Source organism: Homo sapiens, chromosome 9 (assembly GCF_000001405.40).
Source record: "Homo sapiens chromosome 9, GRCh38.p14 Primary Assembly".
In the NCBI taxonomy this organism is placed as follows: domain Eukaryota; kingdom Metazoa; phylum Chordata; class Mammalia; order Primates; family Hominidae; genus Homo; species Homo sapiens.
This window is the reverse complement of record NC_000009.12, coordinates 131,164,977-131,178,145: the sequence shown is the minus strand read 5'-3', so window position 1 is coordinate 131,178,145 and position 13,169 is coordinate 131,164,977. Positions and strand designations below refer to the sequence as shown.

At 39.7% G+C, this 13,169-nt stretch overlaps 1 protein-coding gene across 2 annotated transcripts in view; it reads right to left on the bottom strand.

The window, feature by feature from the left end:
- NUP214 (nucleoporin 214) overlaps positions 1–13,169 on the bottom strand; it is a 109,078-nt gene that overhangs the window by 56,518 nt on the left and 39,391 nt on the right. For both annotated transcript variants that reach the window (NM_005085.4, NM_001318324.2), the window contains exons 22-23: positions 3,828–4,091; positions 2,525–2,686 (exon numbers count right to left, since the gene is read on the bottom strand). In NM_005085.4, coding sequence (NP_005076.3) covers positions 2,525–2,686; positions 3,828–4,091 — 426 coding nt within the window. The remainder of the gene's footprint in view (positions 1–2,524; positions 2,687–3,827; positions 4,092–13,169) is intronic.

The window sequence follows — 13,169 nt, the reverse complement described above, 5'->3', positions numbered from 1 at the left end:
ACACCTGGCCTACTCCATTAACACAGGTGATGGAACAAGGCTTCCTGTAACTGAATCGAATGTACTAGAGTAGGGGAAAAGAATTCTCTGGCCAGCTTTTCTACACAGAGCTGAGACACCTGCCACACTGCTGGTCTGTCCTGGAAAAGGGCAGCTTGAGCTAGAGGATTAACAGCATCTAGACTCAGGATTTCTGCCACTCATTCACTGTCTTTCTTTAACATGGGCTTATTATGTGCCAGGCTCTGTGTTAGGGGCTGCGAATACAAAATGTATCTATAGTTTCTTCTCTAAAGAAACTCATGGCCTAGTGAGACAGAAAGGCATAATGAATAAAATGTGGAAAATGGAGCTTGGACAATAATGGGAGAAGAGACTAAGAGGCATATATCTGACACCTCCTCATCAGCTTTCGTCTTATAATTGTAAATTGTATCCCAAAAGACTTAATGACATTCTATAATTAGCAATTAAGGAAGCCTGAGCAAAGCTTGTGGCTCATTACTAACTGCATCACTGGCCAAGGTGAAAGTGGTTATCACAAGCAGAATGACAGACCTGTAGTTAATTCTCTTTTATTCCCTCTTTCAAAGAAGTGACCAGAACATCTTGCCCACGACTGCACATCTTTCATATTTCATATTCAAAGGTGCCTATACCTTAGAAATTTTTGCATCCAACATGATAATACAGATCACACCACCTTCTGCTGAGTGGAACAATCCTCAATCCTAATAGATTTTAACGTTTTACAGATCATTGACTTGATCAACTTGATTTCAGGCCTGTTCAGCACAATGGCAAGATTCTACCTGGTCCAAGTAATATTTAAAGAGATCAAAGAATTCTATTTTTAGAAAGCCCAAAGGTACCTCAAAAGTTATCTTTGTTTTGTTCTTCAATATATATGTTAGATGTCTTAATAAAGGTTTTAATATTTGAATTTTTCTTTACAATCTTTTGACTTATCACTGTTTAATGTTAGTTCTTTTTTCCTAAATCAAACTATTATGTCTTTTTAGTCTTTAAAAAAAACTCTAAATTGATAAGTGTTGTAAGCAGTGATACATCTAAAAAATAATTTTACTCAGCTAAAATGAAAATATTTGGCTTATATCTGTTTCTTGACCCTGGCACTACTGACATTTTGGGGCTAGATAACCCTTTGTTGTGGGGGTGTCTTATGCATTTTAAAGATTTTTTTTTTGCAGCATTCCTGGCCTCTACCCACTAAATGCCAGCAACACTGCCAACTGTTTCAGGGGTGGAGGACAGGGAAGTGGGGGCAGCCTCTAGTTGAGAACTACTAGCTTATAAAACTGATAACTAGTGATAACTGAAGTCCTTGAGACCAACTACGCAGACTGTAAAATCCTAATGTACAATGTACATTAACGTAGAAAGTAGTAGAAAGTTTGGGATAATGACAAGCCACTGACGAAATGTTAAGTGCTAACTGACTTATTAGCGCTTCCTTCTGTAAAAGTTAAATTTTACAATGTTAAAAAAAAAGCTTTGGTCAGGAGCAGTGGCTCATGCCTATAATCCCAGCACTTTGGGAGGTAGAGGCGGGTGGATCACTTGAGCCCAGGAGTTTGAGACCAGCTTGGATAACATGGTGAAATCCTGTCTCTACAAAAATTTTTTAAATATTTGCCTGGTGTAGTGGTGCATGCCTGTAGTCCTAGCTATCCAGGAGGCTGAGGTGGGAAGGTCACCTGGGTTCGGGAGATCACGGAGGCTGCAGCGAGCCGTGATCGCACCAGTGTCCTTCAGCCTAGGCAACACAGTGAGACCCTGTCTCAAAAGAAAAAAAAAAAAAGCTTCATGCAAGATATAGTTGGAGAAGAAAAAATGCTCAACTGAAAAAGAGCAGAGGGTTAGAGTCTGGGTTCTGCTACTTATTGGTGGGATAACCTTCACCTCTCTGAACTTCAGATTACTCAAACACAAAATGGTCATTCTTTTTGTTTGTTTGTGTTTGTTTTGTTTTAGAGATGAGGTCTCACTATGTTGCCTAGGGTGGTCTCAAACTCCTGGCCTCAAGTGATCCTCCCACCTCAGCCTCCCAAAGTGCTGGGATTACAGGCATGAGTCACTATGCCCAGCCAAAATAGCCATTCAAATACCTACCTCTTGGGGTAGCTGCAATCTGTAAGATACTAAGAGATGACGCTAGTGTTATTCGATGATCGAATTTCAAAGGTTATAATTTTAGGGCTCTAAGCAGACATTATTCAAAAGTAGGATTAGCAATTTTGTTTAAAAAAAAAAACAAACCCCACTGATTTCCACCTTAACTAAATGTGGCAGTTCTAATCCCTCCCCTTAAAAGCAAAGATTTTCAGACCTAGTCTCTGCTTTCTTAGAACTCTCTCCACAAAGGGGAGAGGGCTGTCACATCAATCTTCTCTTCTGAAGGGCACCAAAGAGCGCCCACTGTTTCTTGCCACCTGCTGTCCTGGCCTGTGACTCAGACAGCTCATAATCAGCCTCTGTACAGGTATGGGGCTACAGCTTTTACCTGGTGCCTGACTGGCCATCTGCCGCCTGAGTGCTGCTGCGGCAGCTGCCTGCGGGGCTGAGATGGGGTGGGAAGGACTAGGTGCACCATGTTTCACGGTTTTCGTGGCAAGCATTGTGCTATCGGCCCCTTGAGGAATAATTTTGCTAGCAGATGTAGCCACTAAGAGGAAAAGAAAAATTAAGTGTGAGTGGGTGAGAGAACAGGAAAATACAAAAGGTTAAATTGGTAAATTCTTTATGTTCGACTGCAGGGAAAATGCTAAAATTAGCGTTAACATAGAAAAGTACCAGTAAACTAACAGGCTGGCATCTATATCTTTCAGTTATCGCATGAAATTTGCCTACCCACCTCTACTAAGATACATCATCATTTCCTGATACTGATTGAGATACAACTTTTATACCAACATAGACCAATTCCCTGATCCCCTCTCACAAATTCTCTTCATTCTAGTACCTAACACTGGTATTTTTCTCTGCTGGAAGTCACTTTGATGCAAAGCCCTGACACTGTACTGAAAGTGTGGGGGCACAACACCTGTCAGTACAGTGAGCCAATACTGACCACAAGCATCAGAGCTGGTGAGTTCTGAGGCAGAATATGCCACAAGTCAGGCTGAAATGAGCCAGGATTTAAAAGATATGAGTGTGGATGTTGCTTTATAACTGAAGCAAACAGCCCCCTTTTACTTCTGAAAAAGATCTGTTTTAAAAAACAAGCTGGCTCAGCAGAAAAACTGTTATAGCGCATAAACTTGGAGAGCCATCTCCTTCCTCACAATGGCCTAGCAACTGCTTTCAAGGGGAACACACATCTTTTCAATCAGTCTTCTAATTTCTAGAATATAAGCAGAAGTGAGTTGAGCAGCCAGGTGCAGTGGCTCATGCCTGTAATCCTACCACTCTGGGAGGCCAAGGCAGGTGGATCACCTGAGGTCAGGAGTTTGAGACCAGCCTGGCCAACACAACATGGTGAAACCCCGTCTCCACTAAAAATACAAAAATTAGCCAGGCGTGGTGGTGCACGCCTGTAATCCCAGCTACTTGGGAGGGTGAGGCAGGAGAATCATTTGAACCCAGGAGGTGGATGTTGCAGTGAGCCTAGATCGCGCCATTACACTCCAGCCTGGGCAACAGAGTGAGACTCCACCTCAAAAAAAAAAAGAAAAAAAGAAAAAAAAAAAAAAGTGGGCTGGAGCCAACCACCATATTGGTGTGACAGTATAAGACCCAGTTACAATTCCGTCATTAGTTAGAAACATCATAGGGAAAAACAGTTTCCTTTCCCACTGTTTACTTACCTGAAGTTCCCATCACACCAGGTGAAGAACCATGAACCAGGTGAGATTTAGCAAAAGGTGCTGCATGGGGCAAGAGACTGGGCTGGATGGAAGGAGTGCGAACCACGGGGGCGTGCCGAGGGGCCTGAACCACTGCCTCGTCATCTTTACAGGACGTCCGTGCATCTTCACTCTCCAGAGACTGGGAGACAGATGACGTTGAGCTGACTTCATCCAAGTCTTCATAATATCTCTGAGACAGAAAGGCTGATCGAGACAGGCTGGCTACAAAAGCCCCAAACAAAACACAATTTAGACAACTCAAAGCAAGCCCAAAAGCTAAGTAATTTTCACTGTTGATAAAAAAAAAAAATACTCAACTTGTAAAATGATTTAATTATTACTTATTTTAAGTGGGAGCAGGTATTGTCAAATGTGAACAAAAATGGTTTTGGGTCTTTGCTCAGATGGGGATTTGAGAAACTGAGGTGTGTGAACGAGAACATCTTGGGGCTGTTAAAAGAATGTGAAAAAGTAAGAGACAGAATTAATGCTGGTGTCAAAGTAGAAGCCTGGAGCCCTCACTAGTATAATAATAATATACTAGAAATGTAACAGGCAAGTTTCCATGGTGGGGTGAACAATCACACCATTACTGTCACCTTCCAATGATAAGCTTCTAAGAACAGGTCCAACGCAAAATGGATTAGAAAGAATGTCCTCGGTCCTGAGTGTCTCGAACATTTCCAGATAAATCTAATGATTCTTCTGATTCAGACAATTAGGTTTAAAAAAAAAAAATACAAGAGACTGGGTGCAGTGGGTCAGGCCTATAATCCCAGCACTTTGGGAGATTGAGGCAGGAGGACTGCTTGAAGCCAGGAGTTCAAGACCAGCTTAGGCAACATAGTGAGACCCTGTCTCTACAAAAAATAGGGTAACAGAGTGAAACTCTGTCTCAAAAAAAAAAAAAAAAAAAAAAAAGGCTGGGTGCAGTGGCTCAAGCCTGTAATCCCAGCACTTTGGGAGGCTGAGGCGGGCAGATCACCAGGACAGGAGTTCAAGACCAGCCTGGCAAATATGGTGAAACCCCATCTCTACTAAAAAATACAAAAATTAGCCAGTCGTGGTGGTGCACACCTGTACTCCCAGCTACTCAGGAGGCTGAGGCAGGAGAATCGCTTGAACCCGGCAGGTGGAGGTTGCAGTGAGCCCAGATTGCACCATTGCACTGCAGCCTGGGCAACAGAGTGAGACTCCTTCTCAAATAACAACAAGAAAAACCCAAAAGAGAAAATAGAATTGAATTGAACTGAATCCCGGCCTTCTGTTTAGACTACGAAGAGTAAGGCTTTATGTCATGTTAACTTTCTATCATAAATTTCAGAATGCAAGTGAATACTTCCTGTATATTGGAAAAAACAAAAACCAAACAAAATAATCTAGCCCTTTTTCTTCCCTCCCCAAGTTATTTAAAATGGCTCTGCAAATATTTATTGACTTTTGTGTCCCATGTGCACATGGCTCTGCAAGATTTTATTGTCATAATGTAAGTATAACATAAACAAATGCCACTAAAAACCAATGCTATGTGCTACGGCTGTCTTAGCCAATTTGGTAGCCAGTAGCCATATGTGGTTATTTAAATTTAAAGTAATCAAAAGCAAATTAATGAAAAATCAATTCCTCGATTGCACTATCCACATTTCATGTCCTCTACAGCCACATGTGGCTAGTAGCTACCCTGTTGGACAACAAAGATACAGAACATTTCCATCATCACAGAAAATCTTCCTGTGAGACAGCAAAAGAAACTACCATCAGAGTGAACAGGCAACCTACAAAATGGGAGAAAATTTTCACAACCTACTCATCTGACAAAGGGCTAATATCCAGAATCTACAATGAACTCAAACAAATTTACAAGGAAAAAACAAACAACCCCATCCAAAAGTGGGTGAAGGACATGAACAGACACTTCTCAAAAGAAGACATTTATGCAGCCAAAAAACACATGACAAAATGCTCACCATCACTGGCCATCAGAGAAATGCAAATCAAAACCACAATGAGATACCATCTCACGCCAGTTAGAATGGCAATCATTAAAAAGTCAGGAAACAACAGGTGCTGGAGAGGATGTGGAGAAATAGGAACACTTTTACACTGTTGGTGGGACTGTAAACTAGTTCAACCATTGTGGAAGTCAGTGTGGCGATTCCTCAGGGATCTAGAACTAGAAATACCATTTGACCCAGCCATCCCATTACTGGGTATATACCCAAAGGACTATAAATCATGCTGCTATAAAGACACATGCATACGTATGTTTATTGCGGCACTATTCACAATAGCAAAGACTTGGAACCAACCCAAATGTCCAACAATGATAGACTGGTTTAAGAAAATGTGGCACATATACATCATGGAATACTATGCAGCCATAAAAAATGATGAGTTCATGTCCTTTGTAGGGACATGGATGAAATTGGAAATCATCATTCTCAGTAAAATATTGCAAGGACAAAAAACCAAACACCGCATGTTCTCACTCACAGGTGGGAATTGAACAATGAGAACACATGGACACAGGAAGGGGAATATCACACTCTGGGGACTGTTGTGGGGTGCGGGGAGGAGGGAGGGATAGCATTAGGAGATATACCTAAGGCTAAATGAAAAGTTAATGGGTGCAGCACACCAGCATGGCACATGTATACATATGTAACTAACCTGCACATTGTGCACATGTACCCTAAAACTTAAAGTATAACAAAAAAAAAAAAAAAAAAGAAAATCTTCCTGTGAGATAACAACTAGGTACTGTTTTAAGCCGCTAGGTTTGTGATAATTTGTTACGGCATCCATAGGAAACTAATACAAACCCATGTTTTCTTGGGGCCAAATTTCTCTCCATAATTTCTCCAAAATCCTATTGTAGTTCCTGATAGTAACAATAAAAGATGACTCAAATAATCACATCACCTTCAAGAACTAGACAGAAAGAGACACTGGAATAACTATGTAACCTCCAAGGTCCTATGTAACATGAAGGTACTCTTAGTTCCTTCCTTCACCTTTCTGAGGCAATTTACCTGCCTTCGGTGGAGGAACCCCATCAACTGAAAGATGCAATGGGCATGCTCACTCACAGAAGCATGGGGCATGGACTGCTCACTATGCCAATGGTGCTGCCTCCACCATTAATGGGTGCTGCTCTCTGCTGTGATCAAGGATGCAGCTAACTGCCTGGCATTAGAAAGAGCGTCCCACTGAAATTTAAAGAATCTTATTCTGTTTACACTCTACGTCAGATAAGGAAAGGTAGAAAGCTACATGACTGAGGGCAGGGAGGGTGGGGAGACAAAAGGATAGAAAGTCATATGATCATCTCAGTAGATGCAGCAAACCTCACATCTTAGGATGAACTATAGAAAGTGCTCCTTTTGAGATCAAGGAGAGCTACACGACACTTTTACGCTGCACTGGAGGTTCTAGCCAGTGAAGTAAGGTAAAATAATAATAATAATAATAATGATAATAATAATAACAAAAGGACTGGAAAGGCAGAAACGTCACCATTAGTATCCATGGAGGATTTCATTGTTTCCATAGTTACAAGGCCAAGAAACAGCTACAGACGTGTTAGAATAAATGAATTCTGCCAGGTTGTTGGCTGTAAGTAAATACACATAAATCAATGGTATTTCTCGATACTACATCCAACATAAACCATAAAATTTAAGGAAAAAAAATCTACCATTATAAGAGCAACAAATTTTTGCAATTAAATTTTTAGCAATTAATCTAACAAAAGATGTGCATGTCTCCCACGCAGAAAACATTAAGAGAAATTAAAGAACACCCAAATATACAAATATGTACCCAGTTCAGGAACTGAGAGTTCACTACTGCACAAATGTCAATTCTCAAGTTGATCTAGAGACTCAATACAATTCCAATCAAAATCTCAACTTTCCTTTGAAGGCTGAGGAAGGCAAAATTCCTCCCCCAAAACTTTCTTTTTTTAAAGACGGAGTTTCGCTCTTGTTGCCCAAGCTGGAGTGCAACGGCATGATCTCGGCTCACTGCGACCTCTGCCTCCCGGGTTCAAGCGATTCTCCTGCCTCCCTTCTTTTTTATTTATTTATTTTTTTATTGTGGTAAAATATACATGACATAAAATGCACCATAGTCACATTTTAAAGTGTACAGTTCCATGGCATAAATACATTCCTAATGTTGTATAACCGTGACTACCATCTATCTCCAGAACGTTTTCATCTTCCCGAACTGAAACTTCATCCCCATGAAACACTAACTCCCCATTTTCCCTCCTCCAGCTTCCGGCAGCCACCATTCTAGTTCTGTCTCTATAGTTTTGACTACTCTAGGTACAGGGAGGTAGAATTTAACAAGACAATTTTAAGGTTAATATGAAAATGTAAAACACCAAGAAAGGCAAAACATTCTAGAGCAGGAGTCAGAAAACTACAACCATAGACCAGCTGTCTCTTTGCAGAAATATAAAGTTTTGCTGAAACACAGACATGCCCCTCTCATCACATGGTCTGTGGCTGCTTTCCCATTACAACAGCAGAGTTAGGTAGGTGCAATGGAAACCACAGCACCTGCAAACCTCAACTATTCTCCAGCTGGCCCCTTACAGAAAAATCTGCCAACCCCTACTCTGAATTGTAGAACTTTCTGCAATGATGAAATGTTCTTTATACGTGTTTGCCATTACAGTAGCCATTAGTCACATGTGCCTACTGAGCACTTGAAATGTGGCTACTGGGATTGCAAAACTAAATTTTAAATGTTACTTATTTTTCTTTTTAAAATTTATATATTTATCTGAGACAGGGTCTCACCACTCCTTTCCCAGGCTGGCCTCGAACTCTTGGGCTCAAGTGATCCTCCTGCCTCAGCCTCCTCAAAACAGCTGGGATTACAGGCATGCACCACCTTGCCTTGCAATTTTATTTAATTTAAATGTAAGCAGAGGCTGGGCGTGGTGGCTCACACCTGTAATCCGAGCACTTTGGGAGTCTGAGGCAGGCGGATCACAAGGTCAGGAGATCGAGACCATCCTGGCCAACACGGTGAAACCCCCATCTCTACTAAAAATACAAAAAAATTAGCTGGGCTTGGTGGCACGCAGCTGTAGTCCCAGCTACTTAAGAAGCTGAGGCAGGAGAATTGCTTGAACCCAGGAGGCAGAGGTTGCAGTGAGCTGAGATCATGCCACTGCACTCCAGCCTGGCAACAGAGCGAGATTCTGTCTCCAAAAAAAAAAAAAAAACAAAAAAAAACAAAGTAAGCAGAATACCATATTGGACAGAACACCTCTAGAATCTAGCAAGAGAACAGTATTGAGACTTATTTGAGCACTAATTAAGGCAGTGTGGCAGTAGTGCTTTCTAATCAGTGTATGAGACCAACAAACATACATGTATAGGGATAAACGATTTATAATAAAAGTGGCCCTGCTAAGCAGGGAGGAGAGTCTTTTCAATAAATAGTGTTAGGACAAGCAGATATCCAAACACAAAAAAATGACACATGAGCCATACCTTATATCACACACAAAAATCAATTATTGATAGGGTGAACTAAATATATCTATACAGTGGAATACTGTTCAATGACAAAATGGAATGAACTAATGATACATGGTACATATCATGGGTGAACAACAAAAACATGCTAAGTGAAAGAACCTAAACCCAAACACTATCAGACTCCATAATATATGCAATTTCTTTAAAAAGGCAGATCCAAGAAGAAAGAAAGCAGATCAGTGGTTGCTTGGGTAGAACAAGAATTGACTGCAAACAAGCTTGGGGAAACTTTTTAAGTGATGGAAATGTTCTAGAACTGAAATGTGGTGATGGGTATACAATTCTGTAAACTTAGTAAAAAGCACCCAGCTACCAGCAGGTGAGTTTTATATGTAAATTATACCTCAATAAAGTTGATCCAATTGTGAAAGACAAACTTAAATGTTTCTGGAAGATAATAAAGGTGCATACCTACTTTCATTACCTAGAGATAGAGGATTTCTTAAACAGAACACAAAAAGTACTAACTATAAAAGAAAAGGCTGATAAATCTCACTATTTTACAATTAAGAACTTCTGCTCACCAGGCTGGGCACAGTTGCTCACATCTGTAATCCCAGCGCTTTGGGAAGCTGAGGCAGGAAGATCACGTAAGGCCAGGAGTTCAAGATCAGCCTGAGCAATACAGCAAGACCATGTTCCTACAAAAACTAAAAAAATTATCTGGGCATGGTGGCCTGGCCTGTGCCTATAGTCCCAGCTACTCAGGAGGCTGAGGCAGGAGGATCGCTTCAGCCACGGAGGTTGGGGCTGCAGTGAGCTATGACTGCACCACTACACTCCAGCCTGGGCAACAGAGCAAGAGTCTGTTTCTAAAAACAAAAACAAAAACGAACTTCTGTTCACCAAGACATAATTAAGAGGACAAAAAGGCAAAGTGAGTATCTGCAACTCACAAAACCAACAAAGGCTGGTCTCCAGAATTGATAAAAACATGTACAAATCAATAAGACAGAGTATTCAATAATAAATGAATGAGCAAAAGATTTAATTCGGTACTCCACAAAAGAACATATCCAAATGGTTAAAACATTTTACAAAAGAGTCCTACCAGAATAGTTAAAAGAAAAAAGACCGACAATATCAAGTTTGGCAAAGATGTGGAACAACTGTAACACTCATTTACTGATGATAAAGTACAACCACTTAGTAAAACCGCCTGGCAGAGTCTATGAAAGCTGAGCATATGGACAGACTATGAGCCAACAATGCCACTCCTAGCTATGTAACCAAATGAAAAGTACACATGTGCTCCGAGAGACACACACGGGAATATTCAGAACCTTTTCTGTAATAGCTATAAACTGAAAGCAGCACATGTCCAACAGGAAAATGAATAAACAAATACAGCATATTCATACAATAGAATCCTATACAGAGCAACTAAAATAACAGCTAGAGGCAACAACACGGATGGATCTTACAAGCCTGATGTGGAACAAGAGAAGCCTGTCCAGAGACTAAGTGAATGGATTTATGTGGTATGCAAAAACAGGCAAAACCAAATCATAGTGTTTTGGGAGGTATGCTTACATAGTAAAGCTCTGAAGGAAAACAAAGAAAAGGCGACTAAAGAGAATGACAACTTACACAATGCAGAATCCTGGATTGGATCCTAGATCCAATCAACGTGTAGGGGTAAGTGGGACAGCCGGCAAAATTTGAGTATCAACTGTATATGAGATAACTGTATACGTTAAATTTCCTGAACCTGCAAACTGTATTATGGTGTGTAAGAGAGCACCTTTGTTCTTGGGAGGACACATGCTGAAATATTTAGGAATAAGGGGCGTTGTCTTCAGCTTATTCTCAGATAGTTCAGCAACAATTGTGGCAAACAGTAGTAAACATATGGGTGAGGGGTAAGTGGGTGCTTACTGTACTCGCAATTGGAAGTTTCAATTTTTTCAAAATAATAAATTAAAAATAACAAAAAATGTCAAATTAAAAAAAAAAGGCAAAGGCAAAACTCTCACATAAGCCCATATAATCGTGCCTTAGGGGAAGAAGGAAAACTGGGGTATGCAAGAGGGCTTCTAAAAAACGGCAATATTCTGTTTCTTGACCTGGGTAGAGGCTACAGGGATATACGTTTTTGTTTTGTGCACTTAATGTGTGTTGTTTTTCACAATTTTAAAAATTCAAAGTGTTTACATGCTGAGTTATTCTTCCCAGCATGCCCACTAACATTAAATGAGTATCATGTGCAGTTATCTGCTTAATGTCTGAATTCCTCCTCTTAAATGAAAAGCTTCATGTGGGCAGAGACCATGTTTCTCTTATTTACCACTGATTGGAACAAACTAGGCAATCATATTTATTGAATGAATGAATAAGTAAATTACATAAATCTCACTTGTAAGGACTCTATCTAAATATATAATCTGATGTGGGCTAAAGATTTGTGAACAAAGACGTTCTGAGAAAATTTTGGCAACAAGATTAGCAACAGGCATTATGGCCTTCTAATACAAGGAAATATTGTGCTGTCTTTATAAGGCATGTGTTCAAAGAATATTTAAACACAGAAGGCAGAGGAAAAGGTTAAGATTTTAAGTTTAAATCTTTTTTCCAATTTTTAAAATTTGGTAAAATGTAACATAAAATTTACCATCTTAAGTGTTTTAAAGTACACAGTTCATTGGTATTAAGTACATTCACATTGTTGTGTAATCATCACCACCATCCATCTCCAGAACTATTTTCCCTGTGCAAAACTGAAACTCTATACCCATTAAATAATAACTCCCCATGACCCCCCACCTCAGTCCTTCAGGCAACCCCTATTCTTGTTTCCATCTCTATGAATTTGATGTCTCTAGATACTTCATATAAGTGGAATCATACAGTATTTGTCTATTTGAGGACACTTAGCACAATGTCCTCAAGGTTCACTTATATTGTAACATGTGTCAAAAATTCCTTTTTAAAGACTGAATAATATTCCATTGTATAGACAGACATTTTGTTTATCCATTCATTCATTAACAGACACACTGTTTCCACCTCTTGGCTATTACCAATAATGCTGTCATGAGCATGGATACAAAAGTATCTCTTTGAAACCTTATTTTCAATTATTTGGGGTATATACCCAGAAGTGAAATTGCTGGATCATCCAGTAATCACATTTTTAATTTTTTGAGGAACCACCAAACTGTTTTCTACAGTGGCTTTACCATTTCACATTCCCACCAATAGTGCACAAAGCTTCCATTTTTTCCATATCTTCACCACCAGCATTTATTTTGTTTAATAGTAAGGGCTCATGAATTTTAAATTAGAAAAAAATCAAGACACAAAACTGTTATAATCTCAATTTCATTTTAAAATAAATCAGATTTACATATGCAAAGAAAAAAGTTTGGAACTAAACCAAAATAACTAAGTGAGGCCATATCTGGGTTGAGAGAGAGTAATTTTTTAACTTTTTAATTTTTTTTAGAGATTCTGTTGCTCAGGCTGGAGTGCAGTGGCATGACCATAGCTCACTGCAGCTGCAGGCTCAAGCAACCCTCCTGCCTCAGCCACCTGAAGAGCTAAGATTACAGGTGCATGCCACCGCACTCAGCTAATATTTTTTATTCTCCTTTATACTTTCCATATTTTTCCCAATTACCTACCAAGAGAATGTATTCTTTAGGTAAAGAAAAATTATTTGAAAATTAACTTGTCTGTGACTATTATTTATCTAATTTAGCTCTATGTGAGTACAGAAAAATAAATCAGTAAGATTAAA